Consider the following 18,526-nt stretch of genomic DNA (forward strand, 5'->3'; position numbering starts at 1 on the left):
AAACAGTGGACTCTTATCAAACCAAAAAAAAAAAAAAAAAGGAGAAGGAATGAAGATAATTAGGGTCTTTGTACTGTTTGGAGAAACGTAGAGTTAATGCTAAGTTTTAGAGACCCATATAGAAAAATAAACACAAGTATAGGTCTTAATAGTTAAGGGTAAACACTTTGAAAGTAGAATGAATGACTTTCATGCAGAAGACAACTTGATAACAGATATATAAGCAAAAAAATCCTAACTGATGACATTTTCTTTTAGCACATGAGAAATATTAATGAAAATTAACTAGGTATCCAAATAAATGGTCTAAATAAGAATAATTGTATGATTAGTAGATTAAAATATCTGATAAAATTCAAAATATATTTATGTTAAAACCTCTTAGCAAATTCAGACTAGCAGGGAATTTCTTAAACTTGATAAAATATCCATACCTAAACCTTACTGTAGGATGATCTTTAATGGTAAAATCTTTGATCATTCTCATTAGATCAGGAAAATAGAATGCAACCTTTTATTACTGCTACTGTGAATGTGGTTTTGGCTTTGGAGGTCTTGGGTGCTACTGTCAGCCAAGAGAAATAAAATTTAAAGACTGGAAAGGATGAGAAGAGTAACATAATTGAAGATGATATGATAATCTACACAAAACTCAAACCGTCATGAACTAGAATTAATAAGACATATCAGTAATATTTGCAGAGACTGTATCAAATGATAATAGTGTTTCTCTATACCAGCAACATCAAACTAGAACATATAATGGAAAATAACATAACATTTACAACAGCAATAAATCTCTAGCATATTTAAGAATTTACTTAACAAAATATAAGAGCTTTACAGATCATAATTTAAAGCTTTATTAAAGGAAATAGACAAAGACTTGAATATATGAAAATGCCATTATGTTAATGGGTGGAATGACCTAAAATTGTAATAGAGTCAGTTCTTTAAAAATTAATTTGGCTGGGCACGGTGGCTCATGCCTGTAATCCCAGCACTTTGGGAGTCCGAGGTGGGTGGATCACGAGGTCAGGAATTCAAGACCAGCCTGGCCAACATAGTGAAACCCCGTCTCTAATAAAAATGCAAAAAAATTAGCCAGGCGTGGTGGCAGGCACCTGTAATTTCAGCTACTCAGGAGGCTGAGGCAGGAGAATCGCTTGAACCTGGGAGGTGGAGGCTGCAGTGAGCCGAAATCGCGCCAGTGCACTGCAGCCTGGGCGACGGTGCGAGACTCCGTCTCAAAAACAAAACAAAACAAAAACAAAAACCAATAATTTAGAAATTAATGCAGTTTATAAACATCAGCATTTTAAAAATAAACTTAAGACTTATCTCAAATTTGTGGTTAATACTAAAAGTCCATGAATAGCTAAGTTAATTTTTAAAAAGAAGAGAAAATGAAAGAGAATTTCTTAGCAGATATGAAGATATACTACAAAACCATGGAAACAAAAACAGTACTATCACAGGAACATTCAACTATCACAATGAAATGGAACAGGAAATTCAGAAGCAGATCCATATATATCTAGGAATTGATATATGATAGAGGTGGCAAGACAAGTCGGTGGCTCAAGGACAGATTGTTAAGAAGTTGATATTGGGAAATAGACTCATATTAAGGAGAAAAATAAAGTGAGATCTTCATCTTATTCCATAAGCAAGGAGAGGATCTTTCATTTATTTCTTTTATTTTTCAGACAGGGTTTCATTCTGTCACCCAGACTGGAGTGCAGTGGCACGATCACGGCTCACTGTAGTCTCCACCTTCAGGTTCAAGCGACCCTCTCACCTCAGCTTCCTGAGTAGCTGGGACCAAGGCATACGCCACCATGTCTGGCTAATTTTTGTATTTTTTAGTAGAGATGATGTCTCACTCTGTTTTCCAGGCTGGTCAAGGGAGGAACTTTTAGATAATTAGAGACTTCAATGTGAAACATACAGCTACAATCTAATGAAAAAAATAGGAGAATTTTTGAATGGGATTAATACCTAGAATATACAAAGTACTCCTGCAAACCAACAAGAAAAAGGTAAGAAAGCCAACTCTGTCATCAAAGGACATAAGTAGGGGAGTCATAGAATGGGAAATTTAAATAGCTTAGGAGAAAAGTTCAACATCTCTCATAACCATAGAAATTCCCAAGTTAAATGGCAACATGACCCCACAGTACATCTATCAGATTAATGAAAATCATATTGTTGGAGGATATTTAGTTCAACAAGGATGGCAGGGTTGGAGAGGGAGAAACAATAAGCTTCACCTCTCAGCCTGTGGGAGCTGTGGGAAATGTGATCTAGCCCGTTGTTAACTGGATCAACACTCTGGGGAGTGGGCTGGCAAGCAATATGGCAGAAACCGGGAAGATAATATTTTTTAAGTTGTAAACTAAACAGGTTTTAATTAAAAATATAAACTTACAAAAATAGTGTTTTTTTGCACAAAATATCATGCTGGAGGACATAAAATAATTTATATCAATAGTCATGCGCACCTCAATGAGCAGCAGAAGTCCATATTTATTCTCCAGGCTATGTGGTTTGGAGGAACAAGGGTATCCTTTGGGTCAGACCCTCTACCTCCAACTTCAGTGCTCTTTCTACTGCACCACAGACAACTTGCTGTTGCTGTGAAAACCACTAGTGCCAGGAGACCGAAACCAGCTGCAGATTGCTCTTGCTAATGGTCAGCCCAGACTGAAAAGCCAGCCACACAGGCCTAAATAAAATAATACTTAAAAAAATTACTTGGGTTGCCATCCCAATGCTGATTGAAAGGTTTCAAAGATTGGATCTATTAGAGCAAACTGCTGATTCATCTTGTTTCTCTGCTGTTAACTGAGTTTCTAACATTTAGGGACATCCTAATCACTCCTACAGAAATAAAGGACAAACTCCTTGATTTCAAAATCATGGGAATACATTTTTTGGAGAGAGTGACCTCAGCTTCTTTTCCTTTTCTGAGGGTCCTATTATTCAAGAAACATGTTTTGATCCCCAGCTGTGTGCCAGGAAACATGCAAAGTGCATTACATACCTTGACTCATTGAATCCTCCCACAGACCCCACATATAGGAACCATCGGATCCCTGTGTACAGATGAAGAACTGAGTCTTGGAAAGCTTAACTACCTTGCTCACAGTCACACGTTAAGGTCTAAAGTGAGAAATTAAACCAAGTCTTCCAATCTCAAAGACTTTAAAGGAAAAGCTACAAGCTACAAGGTAAGCCCCTCTCTTGTTATGATAGAAGCTGCAAAATGAAACCAGACATGTTTTCTTTCCTTAAGAACCTATCTACTCAGGCAATTATAAACAGTAGAAAGTCTGAAATATTTAATGTGAAAACTTAAAAAAATAGTCTAAGAGATCACAAAGGGAAAGTTTAATTCTCTCTGATTAGAGATTGACTTCCCAGAGATGGTAGTATATGAACCGGGGCTTGGAGAGTGAACAGAATTTGAACGTGCCCAGAAGTGTTTCTTGAGAGGAGATCAACATGGCTACAGCGTTAGCCATAGGGAAGGGCAGGATGTTTACATCAGAAATAGTGAGGGCGGTTGGAAACAAAGGACTGGATATAGAAAAGAACCTGGCATCTGAGATACCTCTTCATAGGTGTGATAGTTACAAGTCTAGGATTCCATAACATCACTGAAGGAAGTACTGTCAAGCAAAGGTTCTAAACATGGAACCAGGAACTTTGTGAACCCCCCTGAAATTGTTGGCTGAAATGTGTGAGCATGTATGTGAGTGTAGGTGTGTGCAAGTGTGTAAGAGTGTGTGTTCTGTTTCTATCAGAGTGTGTGTGCCAGGAGGGGCACAGTCATCTGAGTGTCTTTTTCTGGAAAGAATGTCCGTGGACCATGGGTGACCATTGGTTTTCTATGGGTTACAAAACCTGTGACAAGGTGCATAACCACTACATCTAGAAAGAGAAGGCAAAGAACATACCTTAGGAGTTACATAGATAAAGTAGATTTGGTGAAGGCTGGAAGAAAATGGCCAGAGAGAACCATGAACATCTACTATTACAGAGGGCAAAGAGAGAAGTTATTTAAAGCATGGAATGACAGGCCAACTGTGCCTAAGGAGGATGAGATATCAATAAACAGATGAGTTCCACCAGGTGTGTTCATCTATGTTCTCTTGGGTTACCTGGAAATCATTTGCAGACTTTAATGGATGCTTTACATGATTAGGAACAGTCAAACAAATGCAATCACAACTGAAAACAAAGCCCTATTTAAAAATGATCCACAAGATGGCACTGTGGGCCAATAAGAATATTCATCTGGTTTTCACAGTGAAATGTTTCTCGTTCATTCGTTTTTCTCTATCTTTTGCTAATATACTGCAGCCTGATCCCATACCTTATTTGTCTATTAAAAACCCTGGCATTTGAAAATAATATTCCTAATTTTTATGATTCCTGCTTACTCTTTATATAATCCTCAGTAGAGTTTGGAAAACCTTCATTTAAATTCTGGTTTCAATACAGGAAGTTGGATCTTATTTCTAATATACTGAAAACCCTTAGAAGGCTGTGTGTAGTCAATGCCGGAATTTATTGGTCCTTGGGGAGCTTCGAGATTGGGAAAGACAGGAGGGAAATAAAGGGAAAAGAGAGAGAAGGACTCTAAGTTTGATCAGAAAAGCAGAGAACACAAGTTTCAGCCATGATTAGCCTGGCAAGAACATAAAGCACCCAGGAAATCCACATAGGTGTAGTGTTGCTTCCAAGAAAAAGAATCTCATTCTGGGGAGTGTGTTAGCTAGGGCTTTCACTTTGAAACATGCATTATTTATTTGTTATTATTATTATTATGCAGAAAGAACAACAAATGGCTTAAATTAGGCACCAAGACACAGGAGTTAAAATGTGTCCTTTTGTCAAAGAGAATCATAATGCAATCTTACCCGTATATGGCATGTAACTATATAGTTTACAAAGAGCTTTTATACGTTCATCATCTTGCTTGATTCTCAAAACCACCCTGTGCGTGGGAAAGGTCACCAACCCCACTTCACATATCAGGACACTGAGACCTTGGATATGTTCAGAGACTTGCTCAAGGACACACAAGCAGGACAAGCTGGCAGAGGAATCTAAGTCTTCAATTTTCTTCTCTGCAAAATGGGGTTAATGGCGCTTACTGTCGCAGAAGTGTGTTAAACATAACCACATAGTAAAAGTCTAGACAGAGAATCAGTAAATGTTAGCTGGTTTCATTATTCATAAAAAGAACATTACAATGTCTATTTCCAATGATATATATTTTAAAGATATTTAGTTGCAACAATAGAAACCACTTATCTTGCTAACTTAACTTGCCAACAATCTGCTAAATTACCTTCCGTATTTCCTCCACGTGCCCATTGTTCATGGGCAATAAAAAAGGAATTTATTGGAAGGACACAGAAGAGCTTCAGAATCACAGGAAGAGCAGAATAATGTGGCTTTGGAAAATACAGGACACAGGAGAGAGGCTGGCTAACCTCAGGGTACATGTATACGCCATAGTGAGGGGAGGCAAGGATCCCTGGCTGATAGTCAGCCAGGGGGACAAGTTCCCTGAAAGGGAAATTGGGATGCTATTTTAGAAGAGAAGAAGAAATAAGTGCCTGGTAGGAAAAAAAAAAAAAAAAACATGAAATGCCACTGCACAAAGTATTTCTAGAATGAAGGAGACCTTAACGTCACTTTACGTAAAGCTAATGATAATGACCGATGTTTATTTAGCACTTATGTGTCAGGCACTGTTACATTTATTCACTCATTTAGTCCTCGTGATAACCCTATGAAGCAAGCAGTATTATTAGTCTCATTTTACATGGGAGAAAACGAAGGCACATTTGACCAGAGTAGCAGAGCTGAGTTAAAAACCCATCTAGAGCTCATAACAAAAGACAACAACAGTGTTTAGAAGATTGTTGTAAAAATCAAAAGAGTTAATCTTAGATAGAAATATGAAATTGCTGGTGTTTATCCATTTTTGGCCTAGAAAAACAGCCGCTGCATATGACTCTACCTAATACCTTTACAGCAATCAGAACAGTGCTAGAACTTAGTGCCTGATGATGTTTCTCATTGTTACTAGATTATCCTGCCTGTCTATAGGCAATGGGCTTTAAAAACTATTAAAGTGTGCAGGTCCATTGTCATTTAAACTGGACTGGGTTGGGGTAAAGCCCAGGAAGGTGTCTTTTGTCTAGTGCCACATTGCAGTTTTCTAAGGAGCTAAGGAGCAAGTTAGGCATTGTATTAGGTTTTATTATTATTATTATTATTTGTGATTTCTATGTGTCTATGCATCTCCTTCGGATCTTTCTTCTCATACATCAGCTTACAGCTTATTCTTTGGGACTGGGAGCACAGCGAGAGGTCATTGTTTCATGGCAATGCAACAAGAAGTGGAGAAGCCCTGCCTTACCATTCAAAGCTGGATCCCCTCTCCCTCCTCCGTTCACCCCATGCCCCATGCTTCTTGCCCTGATGTGTCTCTGAAAGCATCCTGAAGAAATCAATTGCATGACCAGAGCTGGAAGTGTCTCTGGGAGCTGTTTAGTTCAACCTATTTATCAAAGCTGTTTATCAATGAGGAAGTGGGCTCAGCTAGTCAAACAGCTGCAAAAAAGGTCGGGGGGCTGGTTTACATCTAGGAGGAATTGTGGAGGACCAGTACCAGCCCGGAGTCCTCTGAACCCCAGATTAGGTGGAAAAATCAGTGACTACACCGTTCACTGCAGGTCCAAGCACACAGCTCCACACGCCACCCTGAAGGAGAAAAATAAGTGCTGCAGGCACATTTCCATTCTTTTCTTTCAAACACAATCCTCTCTCCAATCTGCCTGAAGAAGAAAGGCCATGCACGAGCCACAGGTTACTTATTTTCTGGAAGGATAAATGTGGGCCTGTTTCCAGTAAAAGTGACTTCCAAGAAGCATGAGCCTTCTTGAATACTGACCCACTTCCGGATGTGATCCTGGCTGCGGCAGTTTCCAGAATATCATCAGGGTAACTTTCCCGCTGTGCGGTCTATGTTGGAACTTACATCGTCTTTAAAAGGCACAAATAGCTGAATAACATAATGTAACCTGATGTTCTGACAACCCCACTTATACTCAGGCTAAATTTAAAGGTCACCATTGCAGGGAAATAGTGGCATGAGAATAAAAGTGCCTTAAACATGGATTTCACTGATGTTTCCTCATTTCAAAATTCTTACGCTGTAAAATAGAGGCAAAATGGCCTGTGAGCTTGAAAATATATGAAGTGAAGAATCCATTTCTTGGGAACAAGGTGGTTTTAGGAAAAATTGTAAAATAGGTAGACACAAGTGTACAGTAGCCAAAGTTTATCTTAGATGTTCTCTGTAAAATCGTGCTTATTCATTCTTTTCCTTTGTATTTACCAAATGCCTACTATGTGTCAGGAATTGTGCTAAGCCCTGTGATCAAATGGCATGGGAGACAAACAATCCCTGCTTTCACAGAGCTCACAGTTTAGCAGGGAAGAAAGACATGGAAATAAATAATTATAACAAAGTGAGATGAAGGTGGCGAAAGAGGAAATGCATTTGGGAGCACACAGCAGGGGGGCCTGTAATAGTCTAAAGGTGTGGACAGCACTTTCTCCTGATGAGGTAATGCTTTACTGAAAGCTAACACATCAGTAGAAGAAAAGCATTTAAGGAAAGGGGAAAGTGTAATACAGATCAATGGGACAGCAGAGCTAGAAGCTAGGAGAGGCAGAAGAGCAGGCCACAGCTGGGACTAAAGATAACCTGGAGCAGAACTGGCAGACTACTGCCCACTGGCCACATCCTGCCTGCTGCCTATTTTTGTAAATAAAGTTTTATTGGAATACAGCCACATACATTTGTGTACTTATGGTTTATGGCAGCTGCTGCCATACAATGGCTGAGTTGATTAGCGTGTGGCAAGTATCATAGTAGGCCCTTGATAAATAGTTGTCTGTATTCTCCCCATTTTACAGGTAAGAACATTGAAGGGAAATGGCTTAAGGAAGAACAGAAAGTTCCTATCTTCTTAGGAAAGGGCTCATTGTTCTTTGGCCTTGAAACAATTGCCAGACATGGTTTTAAACTTTTCCTAATTGGTCATTAGCTATTTTGCATCAGCACAAACACTGCTGAAAGTCATCCAATCAGCAAGACTGTCACTCAGGCATACAGCTAAATATTACCCAATCTGTAAGTACCCCTACTTCTGAGAAATTCCATGAATCCCTGAACTCCATACATCCCAAATAAATATATATAGCCAGCTCTCAGCTGTGCTCAGAGAGACTGGGCTTTACAAGTTGTTTTTCTCACTGGTTATTATGGCCTCTTTTTTGGAATACCCAAAATGAGTGAAGGAACTGAACTGGGATTCAATTCCGGACTATCTTCTTTCAAATCCCATACTCTCTTGTCTACTCTTCTTCTCTTAGAGTTTTGAATGCATGCTGCTGGTGTTAGTGGAGACGATGGTAGCTGGGTAGCTGGTACACAATATTGGCATTAAATAACATCACATAGGAAGGAAGTCATTTCCTTCTCTACCTTCAATTCTGTTTTAATCCTTCTTCATATACCCAAGATAAACTCTCAGTTGAGAGATAGTACACATAGCAGTTAACAAAACAGGCTCTGGAGCCAGATTTTCTACTGCTATTTTAGTTATCTATTGTTGGATATGAAACTAGCCCCAAACTTAGAGATGGAAGACACCAATAAAAATTTATTATCTTGCACATATCATGTGGGTCAGGAATGAAGAAGTGTCTAAGCTTGGTGGTTCTGACTCAGCATCTCTCATGAGATCATAGTCATGATGTTAGCCAGAGCTGGAGTCATCTGAAGACTTGAGTGAGCAGGAGGATTCTCTTCCAAGAATGCCCCCTCCCATGGCTTGCAAGTTGGTGCTGGCTGCTGACAGAGGCCTCAGTTTCTTGCCTTTCCATAGTGCTGCATGAATGTTGTCATGACGTGGAAGCTGGCTTCCTTGAAGTAGCTGATGCCAGAGAGCAAGGCAAAAGGAACAATATCTGTTATGATCTATCCTTGAAAATCACACAATATCACTTGTGTGTGCTTTGGTCACAAATACACTATGGGAGCTGACTACACAAGGGAGTAAATACCAAGAGGCAAAGACCACTGGGGGTCAGTCACCTGGGAGGCTGCCACTACCACTTACTAGCTCTGTAATGTTGGGAAAATTATTAAACTTCACTGTGCGTCAGTCTCTCTACCTATAAAGTGAGAATAATAATATAACCTACCTCATATGCAAGGTTTTTTTTTGAGAATTAAATGAGGTAATATCAGTAGGGCCTATGAAAGAGTGCTTAGAACTGAGTGCATACTAAGAAATGTCCACCGTTAGTACTTTGATAACTGTCTAATCCTGTAATCCAGTGTTACTCAAAGAGACAGTACTTCTTGAGATCAGGAGTCTGACACAGCAATGTAAATCAATGCCTTGCTTTCTTCATTGAAGAAGTCATAAATTTGTTTTTAATGTCAGTTGTAATATTGTATATAGTGATTTAGTTAATTTACATTTGGAGCAAGCTTATTAAGTGTTTGTAAACTAAAAAAGCAGTTTGTAGGCCAATAATCTGTCCATAAACCACACTTTGAGTACTGCTTTCAACACTTGCTAATCTTTTGTTAACATAAGAGTATAAGGAATAGTCCTTAATGGCATCATTTTCTTTTCTTTTCTTATCTTCTAAATTTCTCAAAATATAGAGGGAGGTGGGTAAGAACAGATAATTTTATGCAACTGATAATGTGCTATCAAAATGCAGAAGGATGGGAAGAATGAGCTAAGAGGAATAGATATTTACAGGCAAAGAAGTTTTGGAAAGTCATGGAAGGGAAGAATTCATCTTTGTAATGGCAAATGGCTGTTTTTATCCATTTATAGACATGTTATAAATTTTTTCTTTTAAATAATCTTATATCTTAGCCTGGGTTCTCCAAAAGCAAAGCCCAAGACGAAGGTTCTCATATGGGCTAATCCTCTGGAAAATGATTTCAGGGAGCAGAAATTTGGGAGTAGATCAGGAAGCAGATACAAGAATGAGTTGTTGAACTGGCCTCTGCTGCGAGGGTGGGAGTTCGGTCTCACCAGGATGTTCTGAGGGCCTTTTGAAATCCTTATGTCCCTGGGAGATGAAAGAGAAAAACATTTATCCATCGGCTTCTTTCCTTCCATTAGTCAAAGATGGTCCCCTGGTCACCACTCTCTTTTACTTCCAGGATGCATGTTGCATGTAAGTGTTCTATGGGTTCCAAAAGGGAGTGGGCAGCAGTGTGGAATTCCAAGCTAGGCAACAAGAGGTATGTGGTCTAGCTAGAGGCCAAGAGCTCTTTGGTTATTTCTTTGCAGAGCTAGGAAAAGTCTGCTGCTTAGAACTTTCAGAGTTGGCCGGGTGTGGTGGCTCACCCCTGAATCCCAGCACTTTGGGAGGCCAAAGTGGGTGGATCACCTGAGGTCAGGAGTTCAAGACCAGCCTGACCAACAAGGTGAAACCCTGTCTCTACTAAAAATACAAAAATTAGCCAGGCATGGTGGCACATGCCTGTAATCCCAGCTACTTGGGAGGCTGAGGCAGGAGAATTGCTTGAACCCAGAAGACGGAGGTTGCAGTGAGCCAGGATTGCACCATTGCACTCCAGCCTGGGCAGCAAGAGTGAAACTCTGTCAAAAAAAAAAAGAAAAAAGTAGTTTCAGAGTCACGGCGATCACAAAATACAACAAAATAAGACTCAAGAAGATTTCTGTGGATAAGGAATGTTCAATAGAATCCATTAAAATAAAAAAGCACATTTTGAAAATATAAAACATTAAGTAGGGACTTTGAGTTTTAGCTCAAGCATGTAAACAGCTAGGAAGCCATCATTCCCGTCTTTAAAAGAAAAGCTGGACAAATTGAAAATCAGTGACTTTTCCTGGAATCATCAGGGAAGTGTGATTGCACAACAAGCTGCCAGCTTAACACGGTAGAGAGACAGGTGCATCCAGAGATTTGCTTACCTAGAGGGAAGCTACTAATGCCATACACTGGGGAATATCTAAGTGGTAATTTAAATGAATTACCAGAGATACAATGAGAGAATGGGAAACTGGTGGAGGTCTCCAAACTTTCAATGGGCCTTCCCTCTAGGAGCCACATCGAGTTCTCATGATGGGGAGACTGAGAAAAACCTCCTTGAGGCTCTGGCAGTGGAAAGGGAGAGTAACTATTGTGAAATAAGCTCAGAGCCTACTTGGTGAAGAAGGGCAGCTCTCCTAAAAATAACTTTAATGGAAACTTATTCTAGCTGGAATGAGGAAATTCCTCCCCACTCCAGATCCCATTGGCTTTCCTGTCCCTCCTGAGGAGAAGAAAACTCATAGTCATCAGAGGACAGGGCTTCAAGGAAATAGAGTTGGAATGCTGAGGCCAGAGAGGGATGCCAAGGGGCATGGCAGAAATTTATATCATGGAAGAAATACTTGTGAAGGTCATGATCCCAAGACCCAGGCACAAGAAAAGTCTGAGTTTTAATCAGAAGATGGTAAGATGCTCTCTCTCGCTGATATCTGGTGACCCCACCAACAAGGATGCAGTATCACGGTGGATTGCAGCTGAAAGAACTGCAAGGCACTCTCTCTGAGGAAGAGCATACAGGGAAGGCCAAAGTTAAGAGGGAAGACAAAAAGAATGACACTAGAGGAATCTGAATTGTCAGCAGCTACAGCTACAAGAGAATGTGGAGCAGTGACAATAGGTATAACTTCTGTGTGGTGGAAATGCAAGAAGGCAAAGAAAGGGAGAATAGAGCAGAAAATATATGTAAAGTAATCATGTCCAAGAACTTTCCAAAATTAATGACAGACATCAAACTACAGATCCAGAAAGCTCAGAAAATATCAAGCAGGATAAATATCAAAAAGTCTACACCTATGTATATCATATTCAAACTGCAGAAAAGCACAGATGTAGAGAAAATCTTGAAAGAAGTCAGGGGAAAAAAGCACCTCATCTATAGGAGAAGTGAGGATAAGATTTACATCAGACTTCTTATCAGAAAGCATGCAAGGAAGAAGAGAGTACAATGACATATTTATTTATTTATTTATTTATTTATTTATTTTTTATAGATTTTTTTTTCTTTCTTTTTTTTATTATTATACTTTAAGTTTTAGGGTACATGTGCACAATGTGCAGGTTAGTTACATATGTATACATGTGCCATGCTGGTGCGCTGCACCCACTAACTCGTCATCTAGCATTAGGTATATCTCCCAATGCTATCCCTCCCCCTCCCCCCACCCCACAACAGTCCCTAGAGTGTGATGTTCCCCTTCCTGTGTCCATGTGTTCTCATTGTTCAATTCCCACCTATGAGTGAGAATATGCGGTGTTTGGTTTTTTGTTCTTGCGATAGTTTACTGAGAATGATGATTTCCAATTTCATCCATGTCCCTACAAAGGACATGAACTCATCTTTTTTTTATGGTTGCATAGTATTCCATGGTGTATATGTGCCACATTTTCTTAATCCAGTCTATCATTGTTGGACATTTGGGTTGGTTCCAAGTCTTTGCTATTGTGAGTAGTGCCACAATAAACATACGTGTGCATGTGTCTTTATAGCAGCGTGATTTATAGTCCTTTGGGTATATACCCAGTAATGGGATGGCTGGGTCAAATGGTATTTCTAGTTCTAGATCCCTGAGGAATCGCCACACTGACTTCCACAATGGTTGAACTAGTTTACAGTCCCACCAACAGTGTAAAAGTGTTCCTATTTCTCCACATCCTCTCCAGCACCTGTTGTTTCCTGACTTTTTAATGATTGCCATTCTAACTGGTGTGAGATGATATCTCATTGTGGTTTTGATTTGCATTTCTCTGATGGCCAGTGATGGTGAGCATTTTTTCATGTGGTGTTTTTTGGCTGCATAAATGTCTTCTTTTGAGAAGTGTCTGTTCATGTCCTTTGCCCACTTTTTGATGGGGTTGTTTTTTTCTTGTAAATTTGTTTGAGTTCATTGTAGATTCTGGATATTAGCCCTTTGTCAGATGAGTAGGTTGTGAAAATTTTCTCCCATTTTGTGGGTTGTCTGTTTAAAGTGTTGAAAGAGGCCAGGCGCAGTGGCTCACGCCAGTAATCCCAGCAACTTGGGAGGCCAAGGTGGGCAGATCATGAGGTCAGGAGTTCGAGACCAGCCTGCCCAACATAGTGAAACCCCATCTCTACTAAAAATACAAAAAAATTAGCTGGGCCTGGTGGCAGTTGCCTGTAATCTCAGCTACTTGGTAGGCTGAGGCAGGAGAATCACTTGAACCCAGGAGGTGGAGGTTGCAGTGAGCCAAGATTGCACCACTGCACTCCAGCCTGGGTGACAGTGTGAATCTCCGTCTCAAGATAAATAAATAAATAAATAAAGTGTTGAAAGAAAAATCCACCAATCTAGGATTCTATATCCAATGAAATAATTCTGAAAAAAGAAAGGAGGAATAAAGAATTTCTTAAACAAAGACAGGAAATTCATTATTAGCAGAACTCTCTTGCAACAAATGTTAAAATATATTCTGCAGGGAGAAGAAAAATGATATAGTTCAGTGACTTGGATCTACATAAAGAAAGGAAGAGTGACAGAGAAGGAATAGATGAAGGTAAAATAAAATTTTTTCTATTTCCTATTCCTAATCCACCTAAAAGATAACTGTCAGTTTGAAGCAGCAATAGTATCAATGTATTGGGTGATACTAGCATATATGGATAAGTGAAATGAATGACAGCAATGTCACAAGAGACAGACAGGAAGGAATTGGTAATACTTTGTTATAAGATTATAAGATACTTGCATTACTTATGAAGTGATGTAGAGCTATAATTAATTATGAATGTGTATCACTTAACTCAGGGCAACCACTCAAAAAGAAGTTAAAATGGAATCATACTCAAAATGGATCATAGATTTAAATGTAAAATGCAAAACTATAAAATTCCTGGAAGATAACATAGGAAGAAATCAGGTTGACCTTGGGTTTGGTGATGAGATTTTCAATACAACAGCATGATCCATGAAATAAAAAATTGATAATTAGACTTCATTAAAATTAAAAACTTCTGCTCTGTGAAAGACACTAAGAGAATGAAAAGACAGATCACAGACAGAGTAAAATCCTTGTAAAAAACATATATATTAAACGGCTGGTAATAAAATTATGCAAATAACTCTTAAAACTCAACAATAAGAAAAGCAATGTAATAAAAAAAATCAGCAAAATATCTGAATAGACATCTCACCAAAGAAGATATGCAGATGGCAAATAAGCATAAACAAAGGTGCTCAACGTCACATGTCATTAGGGAATTGTTAATTAAAATGAAAATGAGACACCCCCATATGCCTCTTTGAATGGCCAAAACCCAAAACACCAACAACACTAAATGCTGACAAAGGTGTGGTACAGCAGGAACTCTCATTTATACCAAGTGGGAATGCAAAATTGTACAGTCACTTTGCAAGATGCTTTGGACGTTTCCTAAAAACTAAAGTTATTCTTATCACATGATCCTGCAATCATGCTTTGCTTTTTGGCATTTTTTGTACATGAATTGAAAACTTATGTCCATGTAAAATCTTGTACATACAGTTTTCTAGTAATTTGATTCATAATTGCCAAAATATGGAAGCAAAAAAACTGTGGTACATCCATATAATACTATTAATACTATCCAATAATAGTGGATAGTATTCATAATAGTATCTAATAATACGATCCAATAATATACTATGATTCAGTGATTTTTAAAAAATGAGCTATCGAGTCATGAAAAGATATGAAGAGTCCTTAAATGCTGAACTAGAGAAGCCAGTCCGAAAAGGCTACATATTGTATGATTCCAACTATCTCACATTCTGGAAAAGGCAAAACAGTAAAAAGAGAAATGATTGCCAGGAGTTAGGGGGAAGAAAGGAGTGAATAAGCGAACAGGGTTTTAGGGCAGTGACAGTATTCTGTTTGGTACTATCATGGTGGATACATGTCATTATACATTTCTCAAAACCCACAGAATGTTCAACACCAAGAGTTGAAACCAGGACTTTTGGTGGTCATAATGTGTTAGCGTAGGTTGATTGATGGTAACAAATATCCCATCTGGAATGGATGTTGACAGTAGGGGAGGCTGTGCCTGGGTGGGGGTATGGGACATAGGGAACAGTCTGTACTTTCTGCTCACTGTCGCTGTGAACATAAAACTGCTGCAAAAATTATAGTCCATTAATAATAAAAAGGACACTAGGTATAAACTAATACGGTGTGAATAAAGTATGGAGTTTAATAACGAGTTATCAACATTGCTTCATTAGTTGTTGTAAATGTACCACAGCAATGTAAGAGGTTAACATGGGGGACCCTGGGTGACTGTGGGGCAGGAATATTCTTTGCAATTTTTCTGAAAATGTAAAATGATTCTAAAGTTTTTTTTTTTTTTTCAAATGTAAAGAATGAAAGGGAAAGAAAGAAAAAGAGAGAGAAGTTTTTCAATGTATGGCACATTACTTCATTTTAATAAAAATAACAGAAGTGATATTTAATTCTCTAATTTCATTGTGTGTCAGACACGTGTGCTAAATACTTTGTACAGATCTCACTTAAGCATAACACAACCCTGTGAGTGGATACAGTTCTCCCCCATTTACAGGTGAGGAATCTGATTTTCAGGTCAAAGGAACTTGCCTAGCAAGCTCTTTTTACCCTCTCTGTGCTTTTGTTTCTGTATTCTCCTTTCTAAATGAAAGGAGACCATAGCTGGGTTGCTGTAAAAATGAAGTGAGACACGTTTTTACAGCAGTGCTTTGAATGGAGAAGTACCATGTTGCTGATAGTTATTATCAGTATCATCATTATCATCATTATTTAGATATATTGGAAGAAAATCACTTAATATCTTAAAGCTCAGTTTCCTTAGTGTAAAATAGGAATAACTGTCTCACCAGTCTGCTGGAAGGACAAAATGAGTTCTGTTAGGTGAATATTTCTCAGCTTCAAGCACCCTAAAAAGAGTCATAATGACATGAAGGTTCCTTCTACCCTGGATGTCCAGCCCTGTCTCTGCGCCATTGCTTCTCTTTCCATCTCCCCTGTAGGGTTGGTTGGTTGGAGACAAATCCTTTCTCAGACCAAGGGGAGACATCCAACCCTGGGACTTTAGATAGTACTGGCTCTACTTTTTCTCCAGGGTTATTAAACCTGAACAAAATGTGAAGGAAAGGAAAGCCTTCCATGGAAGTTCTACTCCTGATGCATGTTTACTTTCTTGCTTAAAGCTTGAGGATGCTGTACAGGATAAATTCGCTGACTCTTCTGTTTAAGAATGAGGATCAAAAGCTCTTCCCCCATCTACAGCAGAACCAGCAGACAGGTTGTTCTTTATGCTGGCATTCTGGAGGCTGGGGTTGAAATGGCCTCTGAGGCTGTATTCAGGCTCGTGGGAGTGCCAAGAAGCCTTCCGGGGGCACTGGAGGGGAAAGTGATCCAGGTGAATTGTCATCTTTGGCCAGTGGGACAAACTCTTCAGCTTTGCAGTTAAGACCTCTCTTCGACTTTGCAATCTTCCTTCTACTTCTCCCACCACAAACCTGCTCCTTCAGGCAACTAGATTACTTACTGATCCTCCAACAGAGTGTCTCATGAGTTTGAGATAGCTTCCTGAATTAGTTCAATGGTACCCAGCCCCAAGGAAGTCTTTCTCAATAATATAGCCAACTGGCTGATGGCTGTGAATTGTTTTTGTAGTTTATTATCTGGATTAGTTCCTATCTAATGAGTAACTCCTGAAGTGCAGGCATGCAAGTTGTATCCGTCTTTTTCTGTGGACAGTAGAAGCCCCTTTCCTGTTGAGAACTGCCCTCCTCTACTCTGTGGGTTTCTGGGCGGCTGTACACCATGTGGCCGCTGCTCCCTGTGACAGACTCAGTGATTGTACCAGGGGTGGGCAATGAGAGATCCCTTCAGAGTTCACATGAGTGCTAAGGAGATAAAGGTCAGGTTCTTTTATTTTGCAAATAGAAGGAACATGCTTGAGAATGAAACTAGATAATGGAAAGTGCCCAGCAGAGAAAGAGAGAGAGACAGGGAGAGACAAACAGAGAGATGTGGAGAGAGACAGAGCTACAGACACACACACACACACACACACACACACACACACACCCAGAGCCAGAGCTACAGACACACACACACATACACAGAGAGCTACACACACACACACACACACACACACACACAGAGCTACACACACACACACAGAGACACACACACACACAGAGCTACACACATACACAAAGAGAGAGACACACACACAGATGTGGAGAAAGATACAACTACTGACACACACACACAGAGCTACAGACACACACACACACAGATGTGGAGAAAGATAGAGCTACCGAGACACACACACACACGCACACAGAGACAGAGCTACAGACACACACACACAGAACTACACACACAGAGAGAGAGAGAGAGAGAGCTACACACACACACAGAGACACACACACACACAGAGACACACACACACAGATGTGGAGAAAGAGCTACCCACACACACACACACACACACACACACACAGAGAGACAGAGCTACAGACACATACACACACAGCTACACAGAGACAGAGAGAACTACAGAGAGAGACAGGGAGAGAGACAGAGCTACAGACACACACACACACACAGAGAGACAGAGACCAGACAGAGATTATGTAAACATTTGGATCCATGTCTATCTGAACCATCTTCACTTCTTATATACAGTGAGCCAGCACGTTTTTCTTTTCTTTTAAGCTCGTTAAAGTTGAGATTCTCAATCTATTACTGAAATAATTAGACTAAGACATCTAGTATATACCAGGAAGTGCTATGGAGAATGGAAGATGGAGGTATCTAAGACGGAGGGATTGTCTTTTCCCCAAAATCTATGGGAGGGAGAGGCTCAGATTTAAGAACCATATGACAATGCCCCAAACACTCTGCTGGGAGGTTCATTGCCCATAGACCCAGGCAAGTCCAGGCTCTGCTTTCTGAGCTCTGCAGCATTTGCCAAAGGATTCGGCCCCTGTAAGCCGCAGTTCCCATCTATCCTATGAGAACCTGGGCAGACTTTGCCCCTAGGTTAGGGTTCTTGTGGAATAAAAGCCAATGGGCCTTCACACATTCATCTCTAGGAGTTACATATCCCCTCAGTCCTGGGAGCATGGGGAGGTGGAGAGGCCTGTAGCTGCAGGAAACTTCTATGCACTGTATGGCTTCATGTCCTCTGCAGTCTCCCCAAGGGCACTGGAAAAGAACATTTCCTAAGCTCATCTAGATGTGAAGAAAACTTGGGGAAACAGCCTTTGCACATTGCCCAGCACGCCATAAGCTCTTTGGAGGAAGCATGCATTTCTCCCCGTGGACATCCATGAAGGTGTGGGGTGGTATGGTGAGC

At 39.8% G+C, this 18,526-nt stretch overlaps 1 long non-coding RNA gene across 3 annotated transcripts in view; it reads left to right on the plus strand.

The window, feature by feature from the left end:
* Positions 1-1,259: 1,259 nt before the first annotated feature.
* LOC124900674 (uncharacterized) overlaps positions 1,260-18,526 on the plus strand; it is a 71,217-nt gene continuing 53,950 nt past the window's right edge. Inside the window, exons 1-3 of one of the 3 annotated variants that reach the window (XR_007058065.1) lie at positions 1,260-2,042; positions 3,072-3,233; positions 13,618-13,695. This is a non-coding gene — a long non-coding RNA (uncharacterized LOC124900674). Of the gene's footprint in view, positions 2,043-3,071; positions 3,234-13,617; positions 13,696-18,526 lie in introns of those variants that run through there. The other 2 variants (XR_007058064.1, XR_007058066.1) reach the window with 2 other exon arrangements.

This window comes from Homo sapiens, chromosome 4 (genome assembly GCF_000001405.40).
Source record: "Homo sapiens chromosome 4, GRCh38.p14 Primary Assembly".
In the NCBI taxonomy this organism is placed as follows: domain Eukaryota; kingdom Metazoa; phylum Chordata; class Mammalia; order Primates; family Hominidae; genus Homo; species Homo sapiens.